At 53.0% G+C, this 13,579-nt stretch overlaps 1 protein-coding gene across 10 annotated transcripts in view, besides 13 other annotated features; it reads left to right on the top strand.

Annotated features, from left to right (window-relative positions):
* Positions 1–13,579, top strand: part of PTCH1 (patched 1) — a 73,992-nt gene that overhangs the window by 674 nt on the left and 59,739 nt on the right. For 3 of the 10 annotated variants that reach the window (NR_149061.2, NM_001354918.2, NM_000264.5), the window contains exons 1-2: positions 7,032–8,137; positions 9,699–9,891. Coding sequence is in view for 5 of the 10 variants with exons in the window: in NM_001354918.2 (NP_001341847.1) it covers positions 7,937–8,137; positions 9,699–9,891 (394 nt within the window). In the remaining 5 variants the exon portion in view is untranslated. Of the gene's footprint in view, positions 1–7,031; positions 8,138–8,257; positions 8,365–8,870; positions 9,070–9,098; positions 9,362–9,698; positions 9,892–13,579 lie in introns of those variants that run through there. The other 7 variants (NM_001083603.3, NM_001083602.3, NM_001354919.2 and 4 more) reach the window with 5 other exon arrangements.
* Positions 3,266–4,238: an enhancer, noted in NCBI's record as "VISTA enhancer hs1417". NCBI's record gives its function as "enhancer in: forebrain[5/8]" and the evidence as "EXISTENCE:transgenic organism evidence [ECO:0001131][PMID:17130149]".
* Positions 3,266–4,865: a biological region, named in NCBI's record as "VISTA enhancer hs1417".
* Positions 4,104–4,865: an enhancer, noted in NCBI's record as "H3K27ac hESC enhancer chr9:98273715-98274476 (GRCh37/hg19 assembly coordinates)". NCBI's record gives its function as "activates a minimal SCP1, AML or CMV promoter by ChIP-STARR-seq in naive H9 embryonic stem cells {active_cell/tissue: H9 hESC(naive)}" and the evidence as "EXISTENCE:reporter gene assay evidence [ECO:0000049][PMID:30033119]".
* Positions 4,793–4,842: a silencer, noted in NCBI's record as "silent region_20073". NCBI's record gives its function as "represses an Ori minimal core promoter by ATAC-STARR-seq in GM12878 lymphoblastoid cells {active_cell/tissue: GM12878}" and the evidence as "EXISTENCE:reporter gene assay evidence [ECO:0000049][PMID:35858748]".
* Positions 4,866–5,629: an enhancer, noted in NCBI's record as "H3K27ac hESC enhancer chr9:98272951-98273714 (GRCh37/hg19 assembly coordinates)". NCBI's record gives its function as "activates a minimal SCP1, AML or CMV promoter by ChIP-STARR-seq in naive H9 embryonic stem cells {active_cell/tissue: H9 hESC(naive)}" and the evidence as "EXISTENCE:reporter gene assay evidence [ECO:0000049][PMID:30033119]".
* Positions 5,063–5,502: a silencer, noted in NCBI's record as "silent region_20072". NCBI's record gives its function as "represses an Ori minimal core promoter by ATAC-STARR-seq in GM12878 lymphoblastoid cells {active_cell/tissue: GM12878}" and the evidence as "EXISTENCE:reporter gene assay evidence [ECO:0000049][PMID:35858748]".
* Positions 6,583–7,132: an enhancer, noted in NCBI's record as "NANOG hESC enhancer chr9:98271448-98271997 (GRCh37/hg19 assembly coordinates)". NCBI's record gives its function as "activates a minimal SCP1, AML or CMV promoter by ChIP-STARR-seq in naive H9 embryonic stem cells {active_cell/tissue: H9 hESC(naive)}" and the evidence as "EXISTENCE:reporter gene assay evidence [ECO:0000049][PMID:30033119]".
* Positions 7,777–8,096: a silencer, noted in NCBI's record as "silent region_20071". NCBI's record gives its function as "represses an Ori minimal core promoter by ATAC-STARR-seq in GM12878 lymphoblastoid cells {active_cell/tissue: GM12878}" and the evidence as "EXISTENCE:reporter gene assay evidence [ECO:0000049][PMID:35858748]".
* Positions 8,718–9,351: an enhancer, noted in NCBI's record as "H3K27ac hESC enhancer chr9:98269229-98269862 (GRCh37/hg19 assembly coordinates)". NCBI's record gives its function as "activates a minimal SCP1, AML or CMV promoter by ChIP-STARR-seq in primed H9 embryonic stem cells {active_cell/tissue: H9 hESC(primed)}" and the evidence as "EXISTENCE:reporter gene assay evidence [ECO:0000049][PMID:30033119]".
* Positions 8,877–8,926: a silencer, noted in NCBI's record as "silent region_20070". NCBI's record gives its function as "represses an Ori minimal core promoter by ATAC-STARR-seq in GM12878 lymphoblastoid cells {active_cell/tissue: GM12878}" and the evidence as "EXISTENCE:reporter gene assay evidence [ECO:0000049][PMID:35858748]".
* Positions 9,457–9,696: a silencer, noted in NCBI's record as "silent region_20069". NCBI's record gives its function as "represses an Ori minimal core promoter by ATAC-STARR-seq in GM12878 lymphoblastoid cells {active_cell/tissue: GM12878}" and the evidence as "EXISTENCE:reporter gene assay evidence [ECO:0000049][PMID:35858748]".
* Positions 10,127–10,186: a silencer, noted in NCBI's record as "silent region_20068". NCBI's record gives its function as "represses an Ori minimal core promoter by ATAC-STARR-seq in GM12878 lymphoblastoid cells {active_cell/tissue: GM12878}" and the evidence as "EXISTENCE:reporter gene assay evidence [ECO:0000049][PMID:35858748]".
* Positions 10,347–10,406: a silencer, noted in NCBI's record as "silent region_20067". NCBI's record gives its function as "represses an Ori minimal core promoter by ATAC-STARR-seq in GM12878 lymphoblastoid cells {active_cell/tissue: GM12878}" and the evidence as "EXISTENCE:reporter gene assay evidence [ECO:0000049][PMID:35858748]".

Genomic DNA, 13,579 nt, shown 5'->3' with positions numbered 1-13,579 from the left:
GGCTGCGCCGCCTGGGCGCGGGAGCGCGGGTCCCGCGCCTCCACGCTCGCTCGCACGCCCGGGCCCCCGCCCCCGAGGCCAGCCCCGCGTGGCGGGGAGGGGGCTGGCCGCGGCGGGCCCCGGCTGAGGAACGGCTCCGGGGGGAATTCTCACGGAGGGGGTCGCCGGAGCTCCCATTTTCACGCCTGAAAGGGTCGCCACCTTGGCTTCCGCTCATCAGCCTGGTGGTGGCTACTGACTCGCCAGCGGAGGCAGAGCTGGTGATGGAAGGGCTGGTGCGGAGAGTGACAGCGCCGAGGGGAGGGGGCTCAGAGCGCGCGCGCGGAAGCCGCTGCCGCCAGCTCGCGGGAGCAGCCGCAGCCGCAGGGAAGGGCACGCTCGCGCCCCGCAGACCCGCTCTCGAGCCCGCACGCACGCCTAGGGGTGCGGGACACCCGGGCTAGAAGAGACGCACCTTACCCACCTCCCCTCCCATGCTGCGGGAAAAGGGCCAGAGAGGCTTTTGGAGTTCTGGAAGGGGCGGTGGGTAAGAGAGGTGGTGTGTGTGACTCTTATGCCCACCGATTCAGGCGCTTGGGTGGCTGCCACCCTTACAGAGATGGGCGACCAGCCCAGTGCTTAGAGTGCAGAGTGCGGCCTCAGGGGAGCCCGGGGGCGGGCCGGACCGATTCTCACTTTACAGGCCCGGGCCCAGCGCTGAACCCCAAGACCCCCAGAAACTGTGCCTCTGGGTGACATGCGCTGTGTCTCCACGTATTTAGTACGTTCATGTTTAAAATGATGCTAGCGTGTGGATGAGCACACTCTCAGGGAAACTGATCTGTTTCCATCACCTAAGAAGAACCATATGGGTGGGCGGCTGTGGAAGACACCCACAGACCTGTTTTCCTGCACCTGGGAGAGAAGACCGTCTTCCTCCCTTTTTATCCTTTCTTCCTCCCTGGGGAGGAGAAATACAAAAGAACTAGACATAAATAATAAAGAGCCACAATGGGTGGCTCTAAATATTTGATAATTGGATCACTGAGGTCTTGAACTACCACAATAGTCCTTTTTCAGCATTCTGTGTGTGTGCATTTCTTTTAGGTTTTTATTTATTTCTGTGTTTATTGGCGACAGTAGTTCAGCATGCAATTAATCGCCTCCACAAAGAAAGACAATGCTTTATGGTGTCATCCTTTGTTATTGCAACTTAAAATTTCTGGGTGGTACTCCGGATAAATTGTTGCCTCAGGTGCATGGAGTGCCCAAGTTGTAAAACAAGGGGCTTTCGATTGTGAGTTTATGTGTGTTCCAGTTGTCACCCAGCTTCCTTCCACAAGGCTATAAAATGCCTTTGAGTCCATGATCTGTTTCAATTAAAATGTTGAATCAAGGTAGACATCAATAGGCCCCGCCATTCTCAATTTGGGGTATTAGCTTCATTTCAAACTCACTGTGAGTGGTGTATCTAATTTCTGGTTATAAAGTAGTCATAATCTTTGAAGCTATTTGAACAAAACTTAGAACCATTTGGAATTATTTTCTGAAAAGAAAAAGGCTGTTTTACAAAATTATCTTCAACTTTCTACAGATAGATAAACTGATGAGGTTAATCAATGTGGATTAAAATATGTCTCCCGTTTTTATCCTCATTCCTCTCTCTCTCTCACACACACACACACACACACACACACCTTTTATTTTCTCCAGCCTCTGCCACAGTGTATAATGCCCTATTGAGACGTGTAGGCGTGATGTGTAAACCGGATTAGCAGTATGAAAGAAAGACACACAATAAGCTGGAATTGTTTTACTTCCCTTTCATTTCTCATGCCTATATTTCTGATAAATTTGTTGCTCCAGCAGTGGGTCAAAGGGATCATGTTGCTCAGCTTCTTTTTCATGCAGGACCCAATAGCAGAGATCACTGAAATGAATGGTGTGCCTCCTAGCAAACGCAAAGCTTGATAGAGATATATTAGACAGGGAGAGGCGAGGAGAGGGAAGGATGCAAAACATGTTCAAAGTCTGGGTGTTGTAGGAATACATCTCTATCCATGAGAGGAAAGCAATGTGGGTAAGAATATATTTGGAGAGAGAGGGATCAATGCAGGGGTCAATGCTCTGTTTTCTTTCAAGTTCATAGTAGGCTCTGAACATTCAGCAGTTGGTGACATGCTTAGCAAGAGAATACCAATAGCTTTTGGCAATACATAAAGTCTAATTCCCCTTTCAAGCTAGTATTTAGACCTGGAGTAATCAATGTGGAGATTTCTGGGACCTTCTCAGGACACTCCCCTCTGCCGCTTTCCCCACCCCCAGCTCACTGTAAGCTCAAAAAATGCCAGTGCTCCCGGGTTTGTGCTGTAGACCCCTCATTTACTCCTTTGTGGAGTTAGGAGCAGCTTCCCATTAAAGGAGATCAGGGGTAATTAGCAGCATTATTTTGACAAGTTGGCTAGAGCTGTTCCCTTTCCTCCAGCCTGGGGAGGGGGTAAATAAGGGGAGGAAACAGAAGGTGGAAGGGAGTAGGGGAGGGGAGTCAAGCCCAGTAGTTTTAAATTTTGTAGCTGCTGAATCTCCCCCCACCCCGTCCCCGACTTCCCTGAAACCTTTTAGACTCATTTTCTACCATCACCTTTTAAGAATATACAAAAGCTGCCAATGAGAAAATAGTAAGGCATTCTTAGGGAGCCAAGAAAATGTGGTGGATGGTGGCACATTGGCTTGAGTTGAGTCGACTCAACTCATATTCAAGGTACCTGCTTGGAACTGCTGAAGCCCTGCCTTGACCATCACTCACATCCTGTATCCTGGGCTCCCCATGCAGTAAAAGAATATTGCATCAAATCCCCAATTCCTCTCTCCATCCGACCCTCTCAACAAAAATACTGTAGGACTTAAAATCATGTTTGCAATTCCTTGTATTTCTGGAAGAGTATTAAACTCAGTAGACAAAATTATAAATGGCCCCAGGGTCAAATTACTGGAATACATTAACCCCTTTATTCATTTATACTCTGCAAAACTTGCCAAATTACATTGGATTTTAAAGACTCATTTGGTTTGATCTGAGAAACCAGTGAAAAGTTAAATCTCACTGTGGTTTTTCATAACTCCACCAAGTCTGGCTTCCACAATTGCTTACCATTGGAACATCCCAACACAAAGGGCAGATGTTTTATTTCATTGTCATCATTTGGATAATCTGATGTCATTTTTGAAATGTGTGTGGTGTGGCCATGGATATTTGTAGTATTGGAACAGAGAAGGGAGGAGATGTGAGGGAATCCGGAGAGCTTAAGGCATCTGCTTTGAAAACTACACACTCCAATGAGAAGTCTTGGATCATGACTGGGAGACCAAAATGACAATTTATGCATTGAGATGAACTTTACTTGGAAAGGGGAAATGGAACACTCAGCTGTTGCTTCATAAAGGCTGGCAACTCCTGCTGGCTGATAAGGCCCCAAGTTCTCACTTATTTTTATTTGGTAACTGTCACAAGGGGTGCCAGAGGCAGAAGGGCCATTTAAAGGGACTGTCTTCCCGGAGGACACCTTAGCAGGTCTGGCTGCCCCAGTCTGCATCTCAGATCTGTGGAATCCTTGTGGTTAGTTGAAGTTAACAAACCCGGTGTGGCACAGCAGTCCCCTGCACAGGGCATGCATATTAAAGCCGACAATGCTTACAAATGTAAATAAGGGCAGATTGATTAGGAACAACATTATCGCTGGGAATGTCGCACTCGCATGCATCAGCAATGAGGCAAATTGGGGGCAGCCTCAGCCCTGACCACCCAAGTCGAGCAGGCTTTTACACTGGCTCCTCTTCCCTTTCTTAAAACGTTACAGAAACAAGGCCAATTAGATCCTCAAAGTAATTCATCTCTAAGTATGAAAAAAGCAGACCACAGGGGAAGCGGCGGGTGGGGGGTGGGGAGATTAAGATAGCGCTCGTTAGAGCCGAGGCTCCGGAGTGCGTCCTGGAACCCACGGGTAGAATTTACAGGCCGGGACCATTGTCTGAGATGCTGAAAAGTTAACCCATCAAACAGCGGGCGAGGGGGCTCAGGGCACTGAAAGCTCCGGGGATCAATGTTCAAAACGTTTAGGAATTAAGTCAAACTAAGGGATATGGGCCTGAGTGGAAGAGGCTTTGCCACTGAAATGACGTGCATGTGGCAGCCGCCGGAACCAGAGGACATGCAGCCGCGTGCGGAGAGTGAGGCGGATCCATTACGGGCACACAGCTTACCATTTCCTTCCAGAATTCCTTCTTCCAAACAAGCTATACTGAAATCCCTCTAGTAAAAGATTGAGACGAAACACTAATAGTTTTGGGCCAAAACGTGGTGGAGAAGTTTGAAAAGACAAACATAGCAACGTGTCTTTGGCTATATGGTTCCTTGCCCTCCAGCAAGCTTGAAATATAAAAAGGCTAACATGCAAAACTAGGGGTACTACCCCCCTCCCCCAGTTTTTAAAAAGCAATTTCCAGAAGCAAACACACAATGGTTCGACTTGAAGTGTCGGCATAACCATTCAGTAAGAAAAGCTAGAATAGTAAACCTCTTTTCCTGTTTTGTGCTATTTATCAAACCTAATAAACATCAGGATCGTACTCAAAGATGAAACTGGCAATGTGTGGAGCCGTCTGAGCTCTTTATCAACTCAGTGTCATTTTCCTCGCATGCTGCCCGCCTGCTTTCCGAGTTTCCGCAGCCCTTCCCTGAGGCACTCACAAAATCACGTGCTCCTTAAGCGGTCTGAGTTTTGAATTTCCGCGCTGGCCCGGTGCTCAGGTCCCCCTCCGGATCCCGCGAACGCCCCCAAACACCTCCACCCCGTCTCCCTCTCTTCCTCGGGACATCCCGCCCTGACCCCGGCACCGCATACGGTTTGCGGGTTAGGGGGTCGGGGGAAGGGCCTCCCCCTGAAGCCGGGGAGGAGGAGAGGCTGGAGGGAAGGTGGCCAGGCTGGTGGGGGAGGGGAGATTGAGGGAGGGAGCGGGGCGAGGGAGGAAGGAGAAGGCGCAGGCCGAAGGAAGGAAGCGGGGAGGGGAAACCGCCGGGGAGGAAGGAAGGGGGCGGGGAGAGCCGGCGGACGGGCCCCCTGCGGGAGCCGCGTGGACCGCCCCGGTGGCCGGCGCGCCCCGCCGCAGCCCCCAGCGCGCCCGGGCAGCCAGCGCGGGGCCGCTGAATGGGCAGGGACTCGTGAGCGCGACCATTGGCCGGTCGCGGGGAGGCGGCGCGGGCATTGGGCAGCGTAAGGGGGCCGGTCCGCCTTCAGGAATGTACTACGGCGCGTCCGGCACGTCCGTCCGCGCCGGCTGGGCGCGCGCCTCGCCTGGGCTCTCGGGAGACCGCGCTGGAGGCCCGGAGCCGGCCCGGCGCATCCGCCTCCCTACCTACTCTGCCCCGGCCGCGCGGGCGCGGGGAGTCCGGGAGCCGGGCGCGCGCGCGCACCGGGCCTCCTGGCGCGGGGTCACGTGGCCACCGGAGCTCCGCCTTCTCCCTGCTCCTCCCCCTTTCCCTCCATCTGGGTTTCTTTCTTTCCTTTCCTTTCTTTCTTCTTTTTTTTTCAATGAACATACACCGTGCGCATCTTAAAGCCACACCGCCCCATTTCACGACTTCACTAGACTTCTCGCTACTGCCAGTCCCTCTGCAGTTCAACCCCGTTTAAAAAAAAAAATAAAGTGAAGCAAATCAAGGGTTTGCGGGTCGGGTTCCTACCGCAGGGAGGAACGTAATAACTTGGAAACGTAAGAAAAACACATTCCACTTTCCGAAAACAAAAATTTTTTTAAATAAAAAGCCTAGTTGTGTAGACGTGTCTGGCTCCAGAATCCACCTCAAAGGGTCGCGTGTTTTCCCCCTCCGCGGGAAGCGAATCCCCGGGATGCCTTGGTGACACTGGACGCGGTGTCGGGACGAATCCTCGCGATCCGCGCACAGTTTGTTTTCAATGAATCCAGCATCGGGGCATTTATAATCTCCTACGTCATACTATTATTAAATATAACATGCATACCGAGTTTTGTAAAAAAAAATACTGACTATATAAACATCTGGTTAATAAAAAGGGGTGTACAAATGAACCCAAAATAATCAGGAAAACTTTACTCTCTCAAGGAAACAATTCCGTTTCTCTAAGTTGTAAAAAAAGATTCTGTTGTTTCTCTTTTACTTATGTCACATTCGAGATTCAAATAAAAACGCCTCTGCCTCTACAAGACTGCTTCGGTGTCTGGATTCCACGTTTATAGAACACTGACTCCTTCAAACCAAGACTGTGTTTTTTTTTTTTTTAAGTTGGGGGGAGAAAGCGGCTGGGGGGCAGACGGATTTTAAGAAAGATGGCTTTTCCCAACGTCCTTGCTTTCCTCTTTAACTTTCCATTCTGTTTATCTTAATGCGAGGCGTTGTTCCCTGCAAGAGCCTAAGTCTTCCCTTTAGTTATAAAAGAAAAGAGAAGAGGAAAAAAAAATCTGGCACACACTGGCGCACTATCCAGCACGCTGTCATTATTGGTGCAGGCCTGGGAATGCGAGCCGGACCTCCCAGTATTTGCTGCAGCTTGAGGCCAAGGTGCCTCTGAAAGGCTTTTCTTTGAGGAATTTCAGAAATTGTTTAAGCGCTTAAAAAAATATTACATTTCCCCCCGTGTCTACCGCGAGGCAAATGTTCGTGTGTGTGCGTGCGCGCGCGTGTGTGCGCGCAAAGGCATCCCACAAAAAGAAGACACTGTTGAAAAGAAAAGGAATAAGAGAGAAAGGAGGGGGAGCATTCCTTAATGGAAGTATTGCATGCGAGAAGGTTGGCGCTCTCAGAGGCTGCCCCGAAGCCGAGGATGCACACACTGGGTTGCCTACCTGGGTGGTCTCTCTACTTTGGTGAGCTGTTGCTAAGCAGCTAATAATAGTCATGTTTGCTGAGTAATTTCTGCCCTCCGCGAGCCAATCGCGTCGCAGAAACCCAAGCCATCTGACAGCCCCGGGGGCGGGAGCTCCAGCCTTTTTCTCTTTCGCTCGCTCTCTCCCCCTCCACCCCCTCCCCTCCCCTCCTCCTCTTCTTTCTCCAAATGGAGAGAGTTCTTTTTTTTCTTCTTCCATCTCATCTATTGAATCAAGGAGCTGCTGCGGCCGCTGCCCGCTGCACACACACAGAGCGGAGTCCCCAGGTCCCGGGAGCGAGAGAGGCGCGCTGCACGGGGACAGAATGGTCCAGCGGGTTGCCGAGGAGCACAAGAAAGCAGAGTCCGGGACCGAGCAGCCACCGCGAACCCAGCAGCCAGAGCCCGAGCAGCCCGAGCAGCAGCTCCTGGAGCCGCCACCGCCAGCAGCAGCCACCGCGGGAGCAGCGGCAGCTGCGGCTGCCCGGGCCCGGCAGCGCTGAGACCCGCCGGGCACCCTCGGACCCCGCGGCGGCGGCGGCTCTGCGCTTGCCCTCCGCGGCCGCTCGGGCGACCCGGGAGGCGCCGAGAGAGCCAGCGCGGCCGGCGGGAGCAGCGGGGATTCGCTGGCTCTTTCTGCAGTGAAGGGGTCGCGGCGCGGGGCGGGGGGCGGGTAGGGGGAGTTGGGGACCGCAAGGAGTGCCGCGGAAGCGCCCGAAGGACAGGCTCGCTCGGCGCGCCGGCTCTCGCTCTTCCGCGAACTGGATGTGGGCAGCGGCGGCCGCAGAGACCTCGGGACCCCCGCGCAATGTGGCAATGGAAGGCGCAGGGTCTGACTCCCCGGCAGCGGCCGCGGCCGCAGCGGCAGCAGCGCCCGCCGTGTGAGCAGCAGCAGCGGCTGGTCTGTCAACCGGAGCCCGAGCCCGAGCAGCCTGCGGCCAGCAGCGTCCTCGCAAGCCGAGCGCCCAGGCGCGCCAGGAGCCCGCAGCAGCGGCAGCAGCGCGCCGGGCCGCCCGGGAAGCCTCCGTCCCCGCGGCGGCGGCGGCGGCGGCGGCAACATGGCCTCGGCTGGTAACGCCGCCGAGCCCCAGGACCGCGGCGGCGGCGGCAGCGGCTGTATCGGTGCCCCGGGACGGCCGGCTGGAGGCGGGAGGCGCAGACGGACGGGGGGGCTGCGCCGTGCTGCCGCGCCGGACCGGGACTATCTGCACCGGCCCAGCTACTGCGACGCCGCCTTCGCTCTGGAGCAGATTTCCAAGGTGCATTTCAGACTCTCTCCTCCCACTTTCTCTTCCCTCCTCTAACTCTTTGGGATCGCCCCCGCCACACACAAACACACACACTCTCTTCCTCTCTCTCTCACACACACACACACACTCACTCACACCTCTCCAGGAAAAGCAGCAGACAAATGGGGATTGAAAAATTCAAACCCTCCCTCTGGTCCTGGGAGGAAAGGGCTGTCTGAGGTCCGCAGGGGGTGGAGGTGTGTGTGTGTGCGTGTGTGTGTGTGTATACACACGCCCTCCCTGGTGTGCCTTTTCCGGAGCACTGGAAAGCCGTCCACGGCGGACCACCTCAAGGGCGGCCGCGGCACTGTCCTGCCCCGTGCCCCCTGCCCTGAACTTCTTCCTCCTGCGCCCCTGCCCCTATTTGCAGCCTAAACTCCTGTACGGCTGCCACATTTCTTAACATCTTGGAGGGGGAGGCGGAGTGGAGAGAGGCGGAGAGAGGAAGGGGGGAGGGAGCCGAAATAAAGGTGGTTTCCTTTTTTGGCAGCCAGTTTTGGTTTTGTTGAGCATGAAATCTCTGCTCCCTTAAAAAATTATTCTCGGAAAAAGATATCCCCCCCGTTTTCCAGGTTTTGAGCCGCCTCTCCTTAGGGCCTGGTCGGGGGAGGAAAAGTTGTAAACAAATTGCCACCTTAAATTCGCGGTGCGAGTCTGCGGAGCTGCCGGGTTCATTGTGTTTACGAGGCTCGCTGAAATGTGTGGAATCCAGGGAAGGCGAGCACCCAGACGGGGGCCCGCCGGGGCCGCGGCCAGCGCCGGGGAAATGCCGCGCCGGGGAGCAGCCTGCGCCGGCCTGAGCCCTTCCCTTTGCACTCGGCTGTTTTTTACGTTTAACCAGAAAGGAAGGGAGAGGAGGGAAAGATCCATGTGGCTGCCCTCTTCCGATCACAAATATTGTCGTAAGTTGCAGCTGGCTGCCCCACTTCCTAATTCAGCTCACACAGCCTCTCCCCACGCTATGGAAATGCGTCGGGAGTGAACTCCGGCGGCCGCGCTCACCACGTGGATCCCCACTTACTACCATTCTCGGCGGGGGTCCAGTTGGGGGAACCCGCAATATGTTGTTCCAAAGAGCGCTCGCCCCTAGCGCCCGTCCCCGAGGGTGATGGACAGAGCAGGACTGGTTTGCTGGCTCCTGAACCTTGGGCTCCATCGCTGGGATTACGCAGCCCCTCCCTTCTCAGCTCTGGGGTGAATATTGTCTGTGTCGAGTGGTTTCTCTCCTCTCTACCTCGGCTTCCTCTTCTGTATTGCAGCCCCAGTGCCCCAAGTCGCTCAGGGATCCCGCGGGTGGGGGCGCCCTGATGTCCCCGAGGTGCAGCTCCCACGCTGCGGCCCGGCTTTATGACCGAGCCCCCCATGACGCTCAGATCCGCCGGGGCTGCAGTCTCGAGGGCGAGTCCGTGTGCCGCGGCCACCCGCGCCCCCACGGCTGTTGGGGGCTCACCGGGCGGGTGCGCGCAAGCGGGCGTGGGCGCGCGGGCCGCGACTCCCCGGCGCTCACTCCTCCCTTCTGCTTCGTCCCCAGGGGAAGGCTACTGGCCGGAAAGCGCCGCTGTGGCTGAGAGCGAAGTTTCAGAGACTCTTATTTAAACTGGGTTGTTACATTCAAAAAAACTGCGGCAAGTTCTTGGTTGTGGGCCTCCTCATATTTGGGGCCTTCGCGGTGGGATTAAAAGCAGCGAACCTCGAGACCAACGTGGAGGAGCTGTGGGTGGAAGGTAAGAGCGCCCGCCGCGGCGCCCGCGCCCCCGGCCCGGTCCCTCCTCGCGGTTGATAGAGATATTCGCCAGCGCACACCTAGAGCCTGGCTGCGGCCGGCGAAACCCCCTGCCCGCACCCGGGGGATTGTTTATTGTTTGGGCGCCTGGCCGGGAGCCAGGCCCGCCCGACAAAGGCCGCGCTGTAATCTACTCGGGGCGCTGCGCCGGCCGAGGTGTGGTGGGAGAGAGCGGCGGGGGCGGGACGGGGGCGCGGGGCCCCTCCGGGACGGACCACTCTGCGCGCCGGGGGCCCCGGGCCCGCCGCCGCTGCCGCTGTCCGCCTGGGCCGCGCCCCGAGAGGCGCCCCGGGGCTGGCCTCTCCCGGCCCCGCTCCGCGGCCCGGCTTTCTTCTCTCCCCCACCCCCACCCACCGCGTCCAAAGAAAAAGGAGTCGGGGAGAGCCAGAGGCCACCCCTCCGGCTGGCTGGAGTGTGCGCGCCCCCGGCGGCCGCGGCCGCCGCGCTGGGGAGGGCCGGGGGCGGGCGCAGCGCGGGGCTGCGGAGGCGGCGGCGTGTGTGGTCCTGTTTTTGGACAGCTTTCAACTCTGAGGGAAAAAAACATTTGTCTCAAGGTACAAAAAACGCGGGGTGGGGGTGGAAGGAGTGGAAAAAAAAATAGTAAGGCACAGACTGGAACGCATGTTTGCAAAGTAGATTAATGTTTCCTCGCGGGTGGGGGCTTTTTACATGGAATTATTCTGGGGGAAGGCTGCATTTTGCAGGCAAAGAAAAGAAATGTTTTAAGAACGCGGGGTTGAAGGGACCTCTCAGAGGGGTTCTGCCAGTCTTTTATCCACGTTCCTCAGTTTTGGGGTTCTTGAGACCTTAGCAAAGCAGTTGCAGATTTAAAATAGATATATATTTTTTCGAAGACAAACATTTTTACATTATTTTGGTGACAAAGGTTTCAATTTTTTTCCCCCGCTGGTTTCTTATTTATCTTTTTGGCAAGTTCCAAATCCTGCTATTTGGAAACACTTTAACCCTAAACACCACTTTGGGCATCCCTTACCTTACAAGAGGGTAGTAGGGGAGGGTAGAGGTGACTAGGTAGATAATTCAAACCAAAATACCTGGAGCATTCCTCCGGACAGCATGTGGAAGCTGAAGAGTTATGCGCATAATCGCTTCAGTGATCCCTTTCAGGATGCTGTTGGAGACCTTGAAGAATATTTCCTTAATCTCTCCTTGTTTGTGAAGATTCAGCTTGCAGAGTTTTGCAAGCCTGGGGTGGAGTTGGAGTATTTAGTTGAGAAGTGACAATTAAAATAATAGTCTACATAATTAAGACAAAACATTCCTGCCTTAAGTAGTTTGGTAATTAATACAAAAGCGTTCTTTGGATTGAATCCATGGAGTAATTTACCTCAGTTCAGCGATTCAGTATCACTGGTAGATAAAAGAAGGGTTTTATCGAGCAGCTATTATGCTCCTAGCAACAAGTTTCTTGAGCACCTATGATGTCCCTAGCACTGTGTTAAGCACCATAAGAGACTCAAGTGTGTGCGACACTGCACAATTTAAAACTATTAGAATTCGATGCATTTGGACTACATTTGGGTTCACAGCTGAAATGGGCTGTGAAAGTTACAAGAGGGTGGTAGGGGGTGGGGGGAGAGAACTGGAGACGGTAGGGGAAGGAGGGCATTTTAGGCATGGGCGGGACACCAGCAGGGGCCCCAGCTGAGGAGTTTGGAAGTGATGTGATTGGCTAGACTGTAGGGGCGCTGCCGTAGATTCTAGGACAGAATAGGGCATGAGGACAGGGAGGGCCGCTGCCGTAGATTCTTGGACAGAATAGGGCATGAGCACAGGGAGGGCCGGCTCATCCACCACTTGATCCAACCTGTATTTGTTGCCATCGGATGAGGATGACAAAACGTGATTTTGTGGTGTTCTTAGCAAGAGTTTTCAGTGGACCTTTGACATGTTGAAGGAGATAGAATGTGATTTATTTTCTTAACATTGCATATTTCTGGAAATAACTTGCTTTCTGCATAACACGACCCATTTCAAGTCCTGGAAGGAGATGCAGTGTGCTTCCTAGCAGTTTTATGGGAGCTGCCAGTTGTGTAGTGAGAGGGAGTAAAGTTTTTCTTTTTCAATGGACTGGATGAGGACACTTCTGAGGGGCACACTCACTTTGCTTACTTTTGGCAGTTTCAGCATGACTCACTGGTCTTGGGCCAAATGTTATTTACTCAGTACTAATACTGTCACTTGTTGAGCAACTGCCATGTACCAGGCATTTGTTATATATTATCGCATGCCTTACGATTCAATAAAATAGCTATTATTATCTTTTTTTTTTTTTTTTTTTTTTTTTTTTTTTTTTTTTTTTTTGAGACGGAGTCTCGCTCTGTCGCCCAGGCCAGACTGCGGACTGCAGTGGCGCAATCTCGGCTCACTGCAAGCTCCACTTCCTGGGTTCACGCCATTCTCCTGCCTCAGCCTCCCGAGTAGCTGGGACTACAGGCGCCCGCCACCGCGCCCGGCTAATTTTTTGTATTTTTAGTAGAGACGGGGTTTCACCTTGTTAGCCAGGATGGTCTCGATCTCCTGACCTCATGATCCACCCGCCTCGGCCTCCCAAAGTGCTGGGATTACAGGCGTGAGCCACCGCGCCCGGCCCTATTTTGTTTTTATAACATGATAGTGGATGTAATGTCTTTATGATGAGGATTGTCCCATTTTACAGATGGGAAACTATGGGTTGTCTGTTTGTCTCCAGGTCTACTTTGCCTACTAATGACATAAGTCACTTGTTCTGTTGCCCTGTCCTTGATCTCTCATTCATTCATTCATTCATTCATTCTGTGCTAGATTCTCCCCCTAGAGAAGAAGCGACAGTTTCATAAATGCAGATAGACCCAACTAGAGAGGTGACTATACAACAGTAGCCATATAGATTTAATTTCATTTTCAAAGCAGAAGTGATTGTGTAGAGATCTTGTTTGTGACAGAGTGAGCTGAGTGTTCACGTCAGCAGTAAGTAGTGTGAGCATTTGCATTCAGGAGTAAGATTTCCCTGCTGTCCTATACCTCAGTGGACGTCCGTGAATTGAAGTGAGTAATAGCTCCACATTTAAGTTCATTTTGTGCATCAGTCTCATAGATAAATTCCTCATCACTATCAGCAAAGAAATCTGTTAGATGCTGCTTTCTTGGTAGGTTGTTCTTAAGGTTCTAGACATGAATTTTTATATGAACTGGGCATCAACAGAGTGCTTGCTACACAAACGAAATGGATAGAGGTAGCATATTGCCCTAGTTAGAAAACAACAGAAGAGAGGAAAGTATGAGATTTTAAGGGGAGAGGGATGCTGAGGGATAGTTTGGAAGAAGCTCCTTCTCCTGCGGTTTAAAATCACAGGAGCGTGTGTGTGTATGCACATTGTCTTATTCTGCATATCCTCCTATCTGCCAAAGGCATGTTAATGTTATCTTTTTAATACAGCCAGCAAATTAAAGGGATCCACTCGAAAGGCTGTGTCTTCAAATTGACTTTCATGCTTTGTTTAACATGCTGGGGAAATGTGGCTTTATAAAGAGTTGGCTTTATAAAGAGGGCAGAATACATCAGCCACAATGTGCAGACTAATATATGCTAGATGAGAAAGAGTCCGTGTGTGTGCATGCGCGTGTGT

This window comes from Homo sapiens, chromosome 9 (genome assembly GCF_000001405.40).
Source record: "Homo sapiens chromosome 9, GRCh38.p14 Primary Assembly".
Lineage (NCBI taxonomy): Eukaryota > Metazoa > Chordata > Mammalia > Primates > Hominidae > Homo > Homo sapiens.
The sequence above is the reverse complement of the archived record's forward strand: the minus strand, read 5'-3'. Positions and strand labels throughout refer to the sequence as shown.